The sequence below is a fragment of the Homo sapiens genome, chromosome 5 (assembly GCF_000001405.40).
Source record: "Homo sapiens chromosome 5, GRCh38.p14 Primary Assembly".
Taxonomy (NCBI): domain Eukaryota; kingdom Metazoa; phylum Chordata; class Mammalia; order Primates; family Hominidae; genus Homo; species Homo sapiens.
Window position 1 is genome coordinate 142,960,767 of NC_000005.10, and position 18,325 is coordinate 142,979,091.

At 40.0% G+C, this 18,325-nt stretch overlaps 1 protein-coding gene and 1 long non-coding RNA gene across 40 annotated transcripts in view; both read left to right on the forward strand.

Annotated features, from left to right (window-relative positions):
• Positions 1–18,325, forward strand: part of ARHGAP26 (Rho GTPase activating protein 26) — a 458,635-nt gene that overhangs the window by 190,390 nt on the left and 249,920 nt on the right. The gene's annotated exons all lie outside the window — the stretch shown is intronic.
• LOC107986457 (uncharacterized) lies at positions 2,696–18,017 on the forward strand. Its single transcript, XR_001742909.3, has 2 exons — positions 2,696–3,469; positions 5,391–18,017. It is a non-coding gene; the product is annotated as an uncharacterized LOC107986457 (long non-coding RNA).

Consider the following 18,325-nt stretch of genomic DNA (forward strand, 5'->3'; position numbering starts at 1 on the left):
TCTGGTGTGATCAGAAAGGCAGCCCCACTGGCCATTTTTCTATGCCCAGCATGCCAAGCTATTTCCCACCTTGGGACTTTTGCTCATGCTGTTCTGCTGGTCTTCAGTGTTCTTCAGTTTTTCACTTGCCTCTTTCCATAGCTCACTCTTTCTTCTTCAGATCTCAACTTATAGGTCACCTTCTCAGAGAGGGCTTTCCTGATTACCTGATTTTATAAAATTACCACTTGCCTCTTCCCCACCTCTAGAAGCTTCTATCAAATCACCTGCTTATCTTCTGTACAGCCTACTATGTTTTCTTGTTTATAATTTTTCTTTCCTTTAGAGTGGCATTCCTTGAATTAGACCTTATCTAACCCACCTTTGTCTCTTCCATGTCTAGATCAGAGCCAGGCACACAGTAGAAAGCCATTGTTTGTTGGAGATTTAAAAAATGGATCCACGCTGGGCACGGTGGCTCATGCCTGTAATCTCAGCACTTTGGGAGGCTGAGGTGGGAGGATTGCTTGAGCCCAGGAGTTCCAGACTAGCCTGGGCAACGTGGTGAAACCCCATCTCTACAAAAAATACAAAAAACTAGCCGGGCATGGTGGTGTGCACCTGCAGTTCCAGCTACGTGGGAAGCTGAGGTGGGAGGATTGATCGAGGTTGGGAGGTGGAGGGTGCATTGAGTTGTGATGGGGCCACTGCACTCTAGCCTGAGTGACAAAACAAGACCCTGTCTCAAAAAAACAAAAGGGGGGTCCAGAGAGTTTAAATGTCCCATTGTCACTAAGGAAAATCATGGCATAATAGGGAGTAGCACTCAGTTTAAGGGAAATATCAGCCTGTCACCTGACCTATGGGTATTACTGGCTATGAATTTGGCAACTGGGATAAGAATGGCTTAATGACTAGCCCTTGTGCAGTTAATCATAGTAAGAGATAAAGTCTATCCTCCTGTGCCCTTGATGTTTTCAGCCATTCTCCCACAAGGAAATATGTTGAAAATATTCAACTTTTAGAATTCTTGTCTTTGTTAAATAAAATTAAATAAATGATCATCTTTTAATGTCCCATTTGAAGTGTTTTTTAGTTCTTCTCACTCTTCATATTTTTCCTGCTTGCAAATTCTCTTTTAAATTTGTTATTTTCATTTTCAGCATCTGTTAGACAAAAATGACGACAGATCCATTTCCTGGTAGAAATTACACATCTTTTGAATGGTGTTCCTAACCCTCAGCATTCCCAGGTTTGTTTAAAATATCACTGACCCTTTGAGATACTGCTGTGTTTGGTACTGAGACTGAGTTAATGAGAAACTTCAAAAGCAAAGCAGGAGAAATGCGAGTGGCGAAAAAATGGACGATGGAATTTTTTCCAAAATAAAACTCTACGCCTGTCTTCTACAGATTATACCAGACATTTCATGCCCTACTGAAATGTAAATGAGGCTTATTTAATTTGGGCAACTCCATGTGAATTTTACCTTGACAAATTTGAAATTGTGCTTTCAGGTTTTTGTTTGTTTTGCCTTTTTTGCATCCTTTAACCTCAGTTCAACTCTCAGCCAGGAGCTGTCTTGAGTAAGCAGCAATTCACTATGTACTCTTTGGGTGGGGCTGCTTTTGGTTTTTAACAAATATGAAAGAATAGGGGAAAATAACAAGAACTGAAAGAGTAGGAAAAGCCAACACCCTTTATGCCCCATTTCTAGATCATTTCATTGTTGAATAATAATATGATAACGGATACAGGGCATCTTTATAGTCTTAATCTTTTCCCAGGTTATAGGCTGCCAACCAGAAATCCACAAGAATTTTCCTTGTTTGACTAACAGGCCTGAATGGTGAAAGGTTTTTTTTTGGTTGTTTACTTGTTTGTTTGTTTTAAATGTCTGGTTGATAAGCTATCTATGTACAAAGCTTTGCTTCTACTTGAGTGTGAGGTAAGTAACCTGAACCCCCAAACAGATGAGCCATGTGAACTGTGGGTAGAACAGAGGGTGGGCACAACTTTTTCCACAATGAGAGGCAGCTTAACTCTTGTTTGTTTTTTTAACTTTTATTTTAAGTTCAGGGGTACATGTGCAGGTTTGTTACCTAGGTAAACTCATGTCATGGGAGTTTGTTATACAGATTATTTTGTCACCCAGGTACTAAGCCTAGTACCCAATAGTTATTTTTTTCCAATCTTCTCCCTTCTCCCACCCTCCACTCTCAAGTAGGCTCCAGTGTCTGTTGTTCCCCTCTGCGTTCATGAGTTCTCATCATTTAGCTCCCACTTGTAAGTGAAAACATGCAGTATTTGTTTTTCTATTTCTGCGTTAGTTTGCTAAGGATAACGACCTCCAGCTCCATCCATCTTCCCACAAAGGGCATAATCTCATTCTTTTTTATGGCTGTGTAGTATTCCATGGTATATATGTATATATATATATATATATATATATATGTGTGTGTGTGTGTGTGTGTGCGCGTGTGTGTGTGTACCACATTTTCTTTAACCTGTCATTGATGGGCATTTAGATTGATTCCGTGACTTTGCTATTGATAATAGTGCTGCAGTGAACATATGTGTGCATGTGCCTTTGTGGTAGAATGATATATATTCTTTTGGGTGTATACCCAGTAATGGGATTGCTGGATCAAATGGTAGTTCTGTTTTTAGCTGTTTGAGGAATTGCCGTACTGCTTTCCACAGTGGTTGAACTAATTTACACTCCCACAATATAAGCATTTTCTTTTCTCCACAACCTTACCAGCATCTCTTATTTTTTTACTTTTTAATATAGGAAGGCTTAACTCTTAATATCTAAACACCGTACTTACAAAACAAATTAGGATTAAAATAACTACATCAAAATTATTACTAAATCTCAGATCTCAGCCTAAATGTCACCTGTGCCTTCTCAGAGAGGTGATTACTCCTGATTACTCTTCTTTATAAAATTAGCACTTTCCCTCTTCCCAACCTCTAGAACCTTCTATCAAATCACCTGCTTATCTTCTGTGCAGCCCACTATGTTTTCTTGTTTATAATTCCTCTCCCTCCTTTAGAATGGCATTCTTTGAATTAGAGGATCTCTGTGCCTATTTTATTAGAATATCTGCAATATTTTTTATAGATCATCAGAAATTTAACAGAGTGGAAAACTGAAAGGTGAAGTGTTCCAAGTCATTAAAGATTAAAAAGTAACCAGAATTCACGAGAAAGCAAAGTTAAGTTATAATGATTTTTTAAATGGACATAAGGATCAATGGGAAATCAAGATAAAGCAAAGCTGAAATTATGGTATTTTGATGGACTTAGTGTCTAGTTTTAAATGTTTTGTTTTGACTGACAGAACTGAAATGCTAGACTGTCTGTTTCTATATAGGATACCTGGCAACTGAAGTAAGACATATGATATTAAAATATAGCCTTTTACCCTGAAGGATATAACAGTTATGTTGAGGAGATGAAGACATAAAAAAGATAAGCATGAAATGTAAGTAGGCTTAATGCAGTTTCCCAAACTTTAGTTTTCTCCCTACCCCGCTTTCAGTTTTGATCATATACCTGTAACATTTGTTCTATTTACTAAATTCTTTTCTTTGATTTGATTCACTTTCTTTATTTACAAAATTTCCTTTTAAAAAAATAAGTGCGTATCCTACTACCTATATCAGTATCACTTGCTGAATAAGGAAACCCTAAAAATAAGTTAAATGGCAACAAAACTATATTGTTAAGTTCTAGCTAGATACTTTGGCTCCTAAAGCCACTGAGCTTATGCCTTGCTTTTCTCTGTTTAAAACACACACACACACACACACACACACACAAAACAACAACAGCAGCAAAAAAAACCGATGTTAAGAACTGTCAAGTCTTGGAGACATGCCAATATCAAGTAGAGACTTCTTTTAGGCTATCTCACCAAGTTTCAAAAAGACTAGGAAGGGAGTATCTTTCTCAGGTCGTGACACACAACCTGACATGCATTTCTGGATCACCTGAAATTATCTCTTGCACGGTAGCCTGTAGGGGCCAGCCTCACAGGGTCGGTGGGCTTCTCCCTGTGTGCGGCGACGAGAGAGTGTAGAAATAAAGACACAAGACTAAGAGATAGAAGAAAAGACAGCTGGGCCCGGGGGACCACTACCACCAATGCGCGGAGACCAGTGGTGGCCCCGAATGTCTGGCTGTGCTGTTATTTATTGGATACAAAGCAAAAGGGGCAGGGTAAAGAGTGTGAGTCATCTCCAATGATAGGTAAGGTCATGTGGGTCACATGTCCACTGGACAAGGGGCCCTTCCCTGCCTGGCAGCCAAGGCAGAGAGGGAGAGGAGACAGAGAGAAAGACAGCTTATGCCATTATTTCTGCATATCAGAGACTTTTAGTACTTTCACTAATTTACTACTGCTATCTAGAAGGCAGAGCCAGGTGTACAGGATGGAACATGAAGGCGGACTAGGGGCATGACCACTTAAGCACAGCATCACAGGGAGACGGTTAGGCCTCCGGATAACTGTGGGCAAGCCTGACTGATGTCAGGCCCTCCACAAGAGGTGGAGGAGCAGAGTCTTCTCTAAACTCCCCCAGGGAAAAGGAGACTCCCTTTCCCGGTCTGCTAAGTAGCGGGTATTGTTCCTTGACACTTTTTGATACCGCTAGACCACGGTCCACCTGGCAACGGGCGTCTTCCCAGACGCTGGCATCACCGCTAGACCAAGGAGCCCTCTGGTGGCCCTGTCCGGGCATAACAGAAGGCTCACACTCTTGTCTTCTGGTCACACCTCACTATGTCCCCTCAGCTCCTATCTCTGTATGGCCTGGTTTTTCCTAGGTTATGATTATAGAGCGAGGATTATTATAATATTGGAATAAAGAGTAATTGCTACAAACTAATGATTAATGATATTCATATATAATCATCTCTAAGATCTACATCTGGTATAACTATTCTTGTCTTATATTTTATTATACTGGAACAGCTCGTGTCCTTGGTCTCTTGCCTCGGCACCTGGGTGGCTTGCCGCCCACAGTAGCCTAGGTGCCATACTTGGGCAATCCAGGCTCAGTAGGATGCTGCCGAGACCTAGCCACAGTGATTTTGTTGGTCTCGTGTACTGGGAGTAGAGGGGAGTTTTTGAAAGTCATCCAGTGTAAATAGTTGGAGCGTTGTGTTTTAAAGGGCCTGTAAAAATTTTTAGTTTAATCTTTAATAGCCGGTTCTAAATAAGCCTTTTGTTTTCTCTCTCCCACTCCTTTTCCCCTTGCATTTTGGGCAGTTTGGTTTCTGTTTTCAGTGGTTTGCTTTGTAGCATGCAGAATGGGAATGATTCTATAAGGTTGGGATGGCAGAGAAAAGAATACAGAAAAGAGTCAAATATTGACACACACACTTCTCTTTCTGTTTGTAAGGTCTCAGCTGAGGAGTCACACATAGGAAAACTCTCCTAATCGCATTTATAACGTACTGTAGGAGAGGGCATGCACACCTACACAGACAGCTCTCAGGTATCTGTATGGATGACTTTTGGCCTATTTGGAATTCCGTGACTAATTTCCTCCTGCTCCCCAATAGGGTTCAACTTTGTATTATTTTTTTTAATTTTCCAGAGTACTTTGACATACCTGATCTCATTTTTTCTACATGCCTTCTGTTGGCCTGTGAAGTGCAATTAAGAAGACAACTATTCTGTAAAAGTATGTGTAAATACTTGGCCTCCTAATTGCAAACAGAATGACTTGGGTTATGCTCAGCATTGTTTCCTTTCATGAGTATGAATAATAAAGTGTTGATTGTAGGTGCATTTAATTGTTAAAACCCTTCAGAACAGCCATATAGCCATGAAAGACTTTGTTGTTTATTTAATAGCTTTTGGTCTAATAATCTCATTGCTGGAAAAATGTATTCCAAGTCTGTAATTGAGAAGAAGAAAGATAAAGATTCTATACAGGAAAATCGTTCATTAATGAGTTATCTTTTTTCAAATGTTTTATTTTACTTTAAGTTCTGGGATACATGTGCAGAACGTGCAGGTTTGTTACATAGGTATACATGTAATGAGTTATCTTTTAAAAGTGTAATAATCTGTGTTTTAGCCAACAGGGCAATAAGTAAACTATGGTATGACAACCCTCTGAATGCTTATACTGCTATTACAACCATAAATACTGAATGCAGAAAAATGCTTAGCCAATAAATGAAAAATATATGAGGATGTATGCATATTATTATCATAACTCTTTGTGTGTATATAGTGCATATTGTACATATGTATATGATACCACACATAGACACACACGCACACTCACACATACGTACAAAAACCCACAGAAGATACAGGAAAATAAAACAGCTGCTGTTAGGATGGCAAATTTTTTTTAAGGTGTTATTCTTAATGTTCTTTTAGTGCTGTAATGTTTTTATTGGAAGTAAGATTCAGGGCAGGGAAAACAGAACGATAAAAATTGACCACATATGTATAAAAACAAGTGCCAGTAAGACAGAGTGAACTCTGGTTGTATAGAGAAGTCAGATATATGTAAATCTTAATAGAGCCATTCAGTGTCAAGCGGTTAGAAGGTGTATGTGGCATCAGTTTAACTTCTGATGGTGTGGTGACCTCCCAGCCTCCGATACCCACCCTAACCTAACCTAGCACCTAGCACAATGCTTGGCTTGTTATTGTCATCACTAACGGATGGATGGAATCAGTGGATGGTTTTCTAAGAACATAAATCCAAATTAGAATTTAAGAGGCCGGGTGCGGTGGCTCACGCCTGTAATCCCAGCACTTTGGGAGGCCGAGGCAGGTGGATCACGAGGTCAGGAGATCGAGACCATCCTGGCTAACATGTTGAAACCCCATCTCTACTAAAAATACATCAGTATTCTATTGATGTGCCAATCTAGGCACTTAGATGATAGAATAATAAGGTAAGATAGGTGGGAAACACTAATTAGAACCAGAAGCATTTAGTTGGGTAAATAGAAGGAAGGAAAGAACCCAGTTTGTTAGAGAACAGAGGATCTGCAAAGCTGGGGAAGTAGCATTCTCTTGGGTATGAAAATAGGAAAGGGTGGTGCACGGATATGAATGATGGCAGCTGGGAGGTGGGTAAACTGATAAAATCAGTGATGAGCAAGAGTTTGCTAGAAGTTCCTGAAGCTTCTGGAGAGGTGGTCCTTGCTACTATTAAAGGCATTGTTCAAAGAAGGGCCAGAAAACCCTTGGATCAGGCTTGTACTCGGAATTGTTTTTAGATGAGTTTCCTTGCTCATAGGTAACAGATCCGGAGCAGCTTTACTTCTTGCTTCTCCTCCTCTTCCTCTTCCTCCTCCTCCTATTCCTCCACCACCATTACCACCACCATCATCATCCCTTTTATTATTAGCTCATTTAATCCTCATAACAACTCTATGAGGTAGGTCGTATTTCCCTCAGTTTACAGTTTTGGAAACTGAGACACAGAGAGATTAAGTATTTTACCTAAATTCACACAGCTAATAAACAGAGATAAAATTTGAACCCAGAGCATCTGGTATGAGAGCCAGTGCTCTTCTCCACTGTTACACTGCACAGTTGCGCCTGGGTAAGCAATGATTATTTCCTTATTAAAAATAAAGACCTATAGCTTCTTAGCCTGTCCTTTCTCAAAAAATTATATTAGGATCTCTGGATTGTTTTTGTATGATATATTTCAAAAAATTTTTAACATACAAATATTAGATATGCTCACTCTCAAAATGCAAATAATATGGAAGTAGTATGAGAATAATTACCCTCATTCCTCCCTTCTAGGGATGACCACAGGTAATTTTTAGTGACTATCTTTTCAGTCCTCTCTGGTTGTGTATATATTTACATGCATAGGATTGCACTTCTTTTGTTATTTTATACATATATCTTTACATACATATGTATTGTGCATATGGATGTACATGTGTTGATGGAATTGTGCTTCACATGTTCTTTTGCTTTTTGTAGTCTTTGTATCATTGTCACTGAGGTCTGGCCATGTTAATGAGTTTAGGTGTATATCACTGGAGCTCTTTGATTTGCCGTTGTGTATCCCTTCCCTGACAAACTGCTGGCACATAATAGATGCTCAACAAATATTTGTTTAATGAATTGTGTTGATTCCATTATCTTATGCCACAATGTTTAAGTAGTCATTTTTTATTTTACTCATTTATTTACTTATTTTCAGACAGGGTCTTACTATGTCACCCAGACTGGAGCGCAGTGGCGCACTCATGGCTCATTGTAGCCTTGACCTCCCAGGCTCAAGTGATCCTCCTGCCTCAGCCTCCCAATTAGCTAGGACCACAGGTGTGCACCACCATACTCAGCTCTTTTTATTATTATTATTATTATTTATAGAGAAGGGGGCTTGCCATGTGGCCCAGGCTTGTCTTGAACTCCTGTGCTCAAGCAATCTGCCCACCTCAGCCTACCAAAGTGCTGGGATAACAGGTATGAGCCACCATGCCTGACCAAGTAGTCATTTTTTAATTGAACGTTTAGTTTGTTTCCTCTTCTCCACTAGTATAAAAAATGCCATTTCCTCATTTCAGGAAGGCTGGCCATTTTGTGATGAGACCTTTATAGTTTGGCAGGCTCTTGGCAGGATGAAGATGAAGCTGTTTTCTCTCCATCTGGCCAGGTATTTGCTGGCTGCCGTTGATCAGTCCCAATGGAGACAGTGACTCTTGGGAAATTATTTCCTCCTACATTAGAGGCCAGATTTAAACAAATAAAGCTTGATTTTATGTTGGCCTGTTCTTTAGAGACTCTTTATCTTTGGTGGGTAGAAGAGCTCCAGTTGGATTATTTGTCTTTTCCATGAATAATGTTCGTTTAACTGAATTAGCAGGGGAAGAGCAATGAAATATTAGAAATGCTTATTGTACCCTTTAGAGTAGTGCTTCTTAACCTTTCTGGAATCTCAGAGCCCTTTTAGAATGGCTCTGGGACTAAGCTGTGGGTCCTCTGCTTAGAGAAGTGCACATGGGTGGTCAGTGTATCACGGCCCCTGAAGATGAGGAGTATGGGTTGAGGACCTCTGTACTTAGGGGAGCTGTTGCCTGTGTTTGCCTTCCCTTCCTGCATAGTCTCTTTGCTCTTTTCCTGTGACAGTGTTTTGGTGACACTGCTCTGGAAACTTCGGTGGCTTGTTGTTGTTGTTGTTCTTGATATTTTTGAGGTTGGGGATGTATGTAAAGAATTAACAAGTGGATTGCATCTTGGTAGGCAGAAAGGAAGAATACAGCATTTTATTTTCTGCCAGTGTGTATAAACAGCCCACACCAGGGACTTTTTGTAGATACTGTTAGTCATGTTAAGCAGATGAACAGGGTGCATATAAAGTGTTTGTTGAACATGAGAGTTGGTTGTAGGAAAATTCCCACTGAGCCCAGTGCTGCACACATATTCAGCACTCGTGAACCAGGCCTTCTGCTAGATTACAGGAATAGAAAGATAATAAATCCCAGTTTCTGCCCTTTAAGGGCTTATGTTCTAGGAGAGGGTAAGGGTCATGAAATGAAATAAATGGAGTAGTTTTATTAGTGAGCCTGGTTTGTTTCCAAAGGCCAGAAACTGGCTCAAGGAAAAAAGAGAATTTTTTGGTTCATGTATCTGAAAATTCCAGAAGTAGCCTTTGACTCTTTCTGTTTTCCTCTCTGTTGGCTTCATCCTTAGGTTACATCTTTGTGTGTGACCCACCAGCCATCCACTTCTGGCGGCTCCAACCTCATATCACCCTTAACAGTCAGCAGTTCTGGCAAGACGACATACTTCTTCCCCTATTGTTCCAATAGAAGTCTTGGAGTTGGGTCACATGCCCATTCCTAAGCCAATCATTGGGGCCAGGAAGAGGGCAGATAGAATATGCTGATTGGCCAGGGTGTAACAGACAGGGGAGCCATCTGGACTGTCATCTGGGGAGGAATGGTTCCCCAAGGGAGAATCAAGGTGTTGTTACCAGAAGTGGGAATGGATGTGGGGCAAGTAGAAACAAGGACCACTACAGCAGTAATCTACTAATAGAAGTTTCTGTAAGATGTGGGTGGACAAGGAAGAGGATGTGACGGTCACTCTAGAAAGGCTTTCTGGAGAAGGCGATGTTTAACCAAGTTTCTAATGAATGAGTCAATGAATCAAAGACTAAAATAGCCATCTTTCAGGACATAGGATTCTTTCATATGAAACTTTTTAAAGTGTGATTGTGTTAGTTTAAATTCTGGTTTCAATCCCATTTTGGTAAAATTTAAGATTCTACAAATTTTTTAGGTGGCATTGGAGGTTTGAGTTTAAGTAAATTTGAAGACTGAGATACAAATTTGAAAATAATTTTTTTTCAGAGATGTCCATTATAATGATACTTAATGTGGTGGGTCTATGTATTTGGTACATATTCTAAGTAGGAGGAAAATAACCGAAGTTATAACTGTTTCTCCTTATCACTGATCATTTGTAAGGGACTATGCTTGGTACAGTACTATAAACCCTTGATTTGTTGGTGGGGCAGAATAACCATGGTTATAAGTAAATAAAACTAGCATGCTTTTGAAGAGAATGAAATTGCAGGAGAAGGAAAGCATCTATATCTTGGAAGGTTCCAGGTGCCTAGAACTTGACAGTAGCCATTAGGAGACTGCTACCCGGTTTCTGGTCAGATGTGTTCTTGTCTCACTGAAGCCCTGGATTAGCTGCTATCTCCTCAGCTGGGGAGGCCCCAGGGTATCACTAATTAGCAGCGCTGCAGGAAGTTTGAGCAAGTTTAATCATATCTTTAAGCGAAGTCTTCTGGTAGTGCTAGACTACTCTTTTCTGTACCTGCTGATTTTTTTTTAGAAACGGAGGCTGATGACACCTTTTGAGTACTTACTGTATACCATTCTTTCTGCCAAAAAAGTCTCGTGTATTGTTTCTTGATCCTATGAAGGTAGACACAATTATCCCTGTTTTGCATTTCAGGAAACCAAAAGCTTAAAGAGGCCATACCCTCAACTTTTTCAATTTAGCACCAAGCTAATCTGAGAGTGCTTGAAGGCTTCTCTGATGAGCCCAGAGAAAGACAAGAGGAAGCTGACATTAAGGATGAGGTTGATTTCATTTCCTATGTGATACACGGAGTTTAAGATACAGTTGTGGGCCAGGCACGGTGGCTCACGCCTATAATCCCAGCATTTTGGGAGGTCGAGGCGGGCAGATCAGTTGAGGTCAGGAGTCCGAGACCAGCCTGGCCAACATGGTGAAACTCCTTCTCTACTAAAAATACAAAAATTAGCTGGGTGTGGTGACACACGCCTGTTATCCCAGCTACTCGGGAGGCTGGGGCAGGAGAATTGCTTGAACCTGCGAGGCGGAGGTTGCAGTGAGCCGAAATTGTGCCACTGCACTCCATCCTGGCTGACAGAGCGAGATTCCATCTAAAAAAAAAAAAAAAGATACAGTTGTGAGGTTTCTTGATGAGGAAGAGCAAGTCAGAAGCAGTGAGGGGTGACTGCTATCTGGCTTTCATCATGGGAAGGCCTGCTCTCCTTCTGATTCCCTTGCCAGGCCATTTAAGATGCTTCTTTGCTCAGAAACCAGTTGCTGTCTGCACATTTTCTTCTAATATTTGAGTGAAAGGAAGTTCATCTGAATAGGGAACTTGGAGCCAACACTAGGGGACTGCCTTAAAAGACTGTTACCTCTTTGAGGGGCCTTTTTTTGTTTTGTTTTTTTAATACAGGCTTAAATTAATCCCAAACCTTTGTATTGTATTCCTTATTTTTAAAAATAACTTTTATTTTGTGTGTTTAAGGCATACAACATGATTGTAAGATACATATATGTAGTAAAGCAGTTACTATAGTGAGACAGATTAACATAGTGATCATCTCACAGTTAACCATTCTCTACCCCCCAAGAACAGCTGTAATCTCATTTAGCAGAAATCCTGAATGCAATACACATTATTAACTGTAGTCTTCCTGTTGTATCTTTAGACTTACTCATCCTATATATTTGCTACGTTGTGTCCTTTGACCTCTACACCTCATCATTTCCTTTCCACTACCCCAAACCTGGTAATCACTATTTTGTTTTCTATCTCTGTAAATTTGACCTTTATTCTTTTTTTTTTCAGATTTTACATATAATTGAGATCATGCAATATTGTTATTATTTTAATTTTTTTCTGTGATGTTTTTAAAATGGTAAATATTTCTGTGTATTGGAAATAAGTTTCTCTAAACAAATTTTTATTTCATTTTATACCATATTTTATTAAATTTTAATTGTTAATAAGGATTGATTTGGGGTTGTTTTAGATTGGTAATTCCCCCTAGTCCAGTTGACTGAGAGTTAACTGCAGGATGAAAATGGACCCTGACAGCTCAGAGTGGGCTAGAACAAATGCCAGAACTACAGGTAAGGGTGTTTGTTGCAGCATTGGTGGAAAAGCTAAGATAGATAGAAGAGATCGTTAAAAAGGCATTGCTCAAAATAGCTTACTAGTATGGGACTGACAATTTCCATTATGTGTATCCATACCGTGGAGTCCTGTGCAGTATTTTCTATGTGATGCAGGTCTGTGTGTCCTTTTAAGAAAAGCACTGTGACAGTAGCGACATCCAAAACTTCTTGAATAATGTGATCTCATTTGAGTAAATAAAAGGATGTTTATGAAGTCTGTGCACATGCTCTTCCTTGTATATAAATAATTTCTAGAGATGATACTCAAAAATCGTTGAAATGTTCGGGGAGCGAGAATAGAGAATTTTAACCTTCCATTTTTAAACTTTTCTGTATAGTTTGATTTTACTCCATGCACAAGTGTTAGTTTTATTTTTAAAATAACAGTCCTAAAAGTAACACTTATTGGTTATGAATGAAAGAGAAATTTCAGTAATAAAACCCAGTTAAGTTCCTTAATTAAAATAAATCCATGGGTGTGGTTTTAGTAGCTAGGTCTGTTACATACCTTAAGACCCAGGACATTTCTTTTCTCTCCCTCCTCCCAGGCTTTATGAAACTATAGTTATTTATTTCATAGATGTTTAAAAGTAGGTCAGCAACACAACCAGAAAAAGACTCTCCGTTGGTTTAGGGGGAGGTGGGTGGGAGGGCGCTAGCAGAGGACATCAGGTTGGCTTCCTTGATCTTCCTCTGCCTTTTTGTGTTTGTTGCTGGTTTCTAACCATTTTCCTCCCTTTTCCCACATACATTTTGAAGATTATTTTAGACTGGGCAGTGCCCTAACATTTTTAGCTTTTGCCTTCTGTATTTTTACAGCATGTTTTTAGAGTCTGTTTATTTTCTTAGTGTCTATTTGATCAGTTCCTTTAAATTTTATATCTAGTGCTTTATTGCTTCATATCCTGCTTGCTTCTGCTATAGTTTAGTGTGCATCTGACTTTGGTCATTCCGTTGCTATCCTGTTCCATTTATCCCTTTTATGTTTGTATTTCAGTTTTTTTTTTTTTAAATATCTGAATAATTCAATGTCTCCAACCCAAATAGCCAGTGAAACTTTTCTCGACCTACCTGGTTACGATGGCTGAAATGATACAAGCAACCATCAGGCAGGAAGGGCTCTGGTTCTCGATGGTGTATTATTGTTCTGACAGCTAAACCCTGGCAGGATGATGCCTACAGGCTCCTAATATGGAGCGCGAATGTTTGGAAATGTTGGAAAATTACAGGCAATGGCCCTCTTTACATGGGCTTTTCATGGGAATAGATGAATTCATATACAAATATTGCTTAATGTTTTATTTTAAGAGGCAGTAACTCTACAAACTGATGAAATGTTTACAACGTGTTTTTTCTGAACATTAACTCATGTAAAGTGTTTGTGGTTCTCATGGCTCCCATCATGGGTGGATGAGGAAGCAGAGCCTCCTCCACATTCAAGCCTTCTGACTGCAGGGCTCCGCTCCCGCCTGAGCTTTTCCTTCCATCCTCGCTTGTCTTCACATCAGTAATACTGAAAGTATTTGGCAAGCTGAGCTTCTAGAAAGTGATACATTTTTGGAAAGATTTTTTCCTCCTCAACTATTTAGCATTGTGAATAGTTTCCCCTTTTGTTCCTTTCGCCCTCTGTCCCTCAGGCCGTGTTATTTTCAAGACCTTCCATTCCATTTTGCTAGCCTCCCTTGTTCCACATCCATACCTCCCTTCTCATACTTTTCATTCCACCTGAAGAGTGGGAAATGGCTTTTTCCATTAATCCTGCCTTGCTTTTCCTGTAAGATCTAGCACCAAACCTCCCTCTTCCCAGAAGTCTTGTCTGACGTGGTACATCCAACTTCAATCGTTTCAAATCTCCATTGGCCCTCCCCTACAGTTCTGAAAGATTCTGTCTTACACATGGGGTGGTCGAGGAGGGGAGGCAGGTTTGTAATGGAAATGATGGTAGACTGAGCAAGGAGATGTAGCATCTGCTTCCCTTGTGCTGCTAAACGGCATGGACTTGGAAAAGCTGCTCACCCCTCCTAGGCCTGTGGTTCTGCAGCTTTAATATAAAAGGGGTAGGACTAGAGAACTGCGTCTACAGTAGTGATTTTCAAATTATGTTTCAAGAATCTTTGGGACTCTACAGTTGCTGAGGTGAAAGAAACCTTTCTCCCAGCTTCTTCCAGAGCTGCCCTGCTTTCATCTTGCTGGTGTACTGGGGTTTCACATTCAATTTTTATCTGTCTGTCTATTTTTGATAAAAGATATTCTGTACTAATAGTTTTAAAACCATCAGATTAAATGACCTGAATGTGGTTATTGTTTCTTACACATAGTTAGCTACTTAATAAATAGTTTTAATTCAACTTAGCTTTGATCATTTAGCAAACTATAAAGATGATCCCTGAAAGTTTAGTCTTAGCTTTGTTCTTTAGATGTTTCTTGTGTGTATCATCTCCCAATCGACAGTCAGTAAACTTCATCATTCCCAGTACCTAAGATTGCAGTGTGTATACTTGTGTATACTTTATTACCCAGCGTCCCTGAGATTACTTAATAAAGGATTTTATAGGATAAAAGTAGCTCCAGTCTTTGTGTCCTGGGTTGCCTGGAGAGTATTAAGAAAACATAATAAAATTGGTTGAGGTGTACCATACATGTATTTATCTTACATGAATTCAACTATAAGCATTCTGCAAATAACAAGAATATAATGTGGCCTCTGAACACCAGTAACTGCTTTGTCTGGTGCTCAGCTGAATAAACCACCGTATGGAGGAAAAACTCTCCGTGGAACTTAGTGACAGGCAGTACAGTACAGTTTAAACAAAGCAAAGTATATTATGCCATATGCCCGGCTTAAGGGCTTTTCACGAGAAATTCTCACTCTATCTGGATTTTGCCTTAAATGTTAGCTGTAGAACCTAACACCCAAGTAAAGATATGGTATCATCATATTCTATTTCACTTCATTGGAAGCTCTTTCCCATGAAGGATTCTGCAGATTTTTAATACATGGTGATGCTTCCATAAAGTACTCCTTTAAAGCATTTGAAATAATCTGTTTGAAATAGGAGTATGAAACCATTTAGAAAGCACCTCTCTAAAGGAAATTAAGTTTATGAAGTGAATAAGTGAACTAATGTCATGCTAGCAGCCTGTGTAGAGGATCTACTGCTTCTGAGGGACAGGGGTTATCGGCTAAAGGAAGGACAGATCTCTTGATCCCTATTTGGCCCTTTTGCTAACCCTGAAAGTAGCCCAAGAGCAAGGCCTCTGAAATGCTAGGACATTTGACCCAATCATTATTACTACATTTTTGTATAGTCTCAATGGAGTCTTTAACATCCATACATAATAGATGTATCCATCCAATATAAATTCAATGAATAAAAGCGCACCTAAGTAAGACTGTGTATTGAAAAATGCAACGTTCATAAGATATCCTGTTGGGAAAAGATATTTTTTTACATGCCAAAAATACAAATTGAGACTTTACTAAACTAGATTGGAAAGACAGTTCTGTAGAGACATCTGGTTCCCTGTAGGTGGAATTTCAACTCTTAAAAGCGAGCATATCAACTTAAATAGTATGTGAACTAGAGAATTTAGATTTTGAACCTGCTGGTTCAAACTTTTCTGTGTTTGCCATCATCCTCAGGTAGGTTCTCCTCATCGTGTCAAAGATAGGCCCTTGGAGACCAGGAGAAGCTCCTGGTCTGTACCCTACCCATTTGCACGCAAGAGTACACCTCTGTGGTAATAGTTCCAGCAAAAGTCCCAGGGCAGGCTCTTTCATTGGCCTGGGCCAGGTTCTGTATTCATCCCTAAAGTGGTCACTGTGACTGAGGCCACTCCTGAGTCATATGCTAGCCCTGGGGTTAGCTCCGCCCAACCACACAGACAGAGCTGAGGGAAGGAGTACACTAAAGGAAAATTGAGAAGTTTTAGTTAGAAAGTGGGGATGGATTCTGGGCTGGCAGAAAGAACAGATGTTCCTCATAATGAGCAATTGCAAGGGCTCATACAAGACAAGTTTCAGAGGGGCTATTGATGGTGTGGGTAAAGAAAATTATATAAAAGTAACACCTCAACCCGCGGTTCTTCCTTGAGATTATGGTTCCTTTTATTTCACAATTTGTGGCATTGCTGGGCCAATAAAGAGAACTTCAAACAGATATTCCACATTCTTTTATTGGCACACAGAGGGCCATCAATTAACCTTATTAAAAAAAAAACAACAGTGGAAGAATCCTGTTTTGAAATCTTGATTTGCTTTAAAAGCACGTAGATGGTTGTTGACAGATTTTTGTTGGTCCTGGGGCTGCCACAGGTCAGCCAGGTGTTTTTTTCCCCCTGCTGGATACGGATCTTTGGACATTTGCCTCCAGTCTTTGCGTTGAACTCAGCAGTTTCCTGGGTGAGGAGGCAACCTTTGTGTGCTCAGCTTCTTCCAAAGCAGCTGTCTCTAGAAGTTGCTAGCCATCTCCTGGTTAAGAAAGAAGATGGAAGGTGGTAGGGAGAGGAAGCAAAAACATTTCACACTGCCTCCCCAAAGACAGATCTGTTATCCTGCCTTGACCACAAAAATTCACGGAGGAAGTCAGTGAGTCAGAGATGCGCCAGGGTGTAAGTTGTCAGCACAGTTCAGCGAGCTCTGGTATCTTGTGTTTCTCTGTTCGTACCACTACTGCTTTCCTTCCTGGCTACATTCACCAGCATGAAGAAACTGGAGCAGCACCTTGAGAGGTTTCATCAGCCCATGGCTGGGATGGTTGACAGATCACTTGCAAAGCCATGGGAAAAGGACCTGGTTCCTCTTGACTCCTCTGACTTATTTTCAGTGATCCGACATCTTGAAAATATTTTCCATTTCACTCCTAGGTTCTTGTAGGCCTTCCCACAATGAGCACATTCAGTCTTAAAAATTTTTTTTCTGCTTTAATTGGCGTGGGGTCGGATCGCTTCTCCTTGGGTCTTAACTGTATTCAGAGGGGCTTAGGGTTTGCCCAAGGCCTCAAAGGCCATGAGTGGTAGGTCATGGTCAAAGCATGTCCTCTTTCCTCAATAGCAGTGTTGGCCTAAATTCATTCTCCACTTCTTCGACTCTCTTTCTCTTGGGTGATGAGGAGGTATGAGATAATGTGTGAGAAATCCTTGGCCATCTTTGGAGTGAGGGGCTCTGTCTATGTACCTGTGTCCCCATCCAGAAAATACATAGCCAGGGTTGGCTGGTGCTGCTCTCATCATTGACATAACCAATCTGAAACTGGAAACCGAAGCACCAGTATAGAATGGTGGCCAAGAGGGTGGTCTGGTTTCAGACAACCTGGGTTGAATTTAGGTCCCATCCCTGACTACTTAGAATAATTTTATGCCCCAGATTCTTACCTGTTAAATGGGGATGATTTTAACACTGACTTCATAGAGTTCTCAGTGCATTTGAATGAGATAATCCATTGAAATCAATTGGCATGATACTTTCCACCTCTTGAACACCCTATAAATGTTATTATTATCTTAATCCTGGAGCTTTATGTCAAGAAAGGAGTTTGCCTTTTTTTTTTTTTTTTTTGTAAAAATTGAAAATTTTCAAGATAAAAAATTGGGGGAAAATATAAAGAAGCATAATGGATGATATAATGGCCAGTCATGTCTCACCAGTCAGCTTCATCAAATCTTGACACTTTACCACATTTATTTTTGAAAAAGGAATTAAAGCATTGCTGATTCATATCCTCTGATAAAGCAATGCTAGGGTAAAGGAAAAAGGAGGCGAAACTGTTTAAAACAAAAGTGACTTAAGACACCTAATGAAATGCAATGTGTGGACTTGGGTTGGGACTTGATTTAACCAAAGCAATTATACAAAGACCTTTTTGAGGCCATTATGGAAATCTC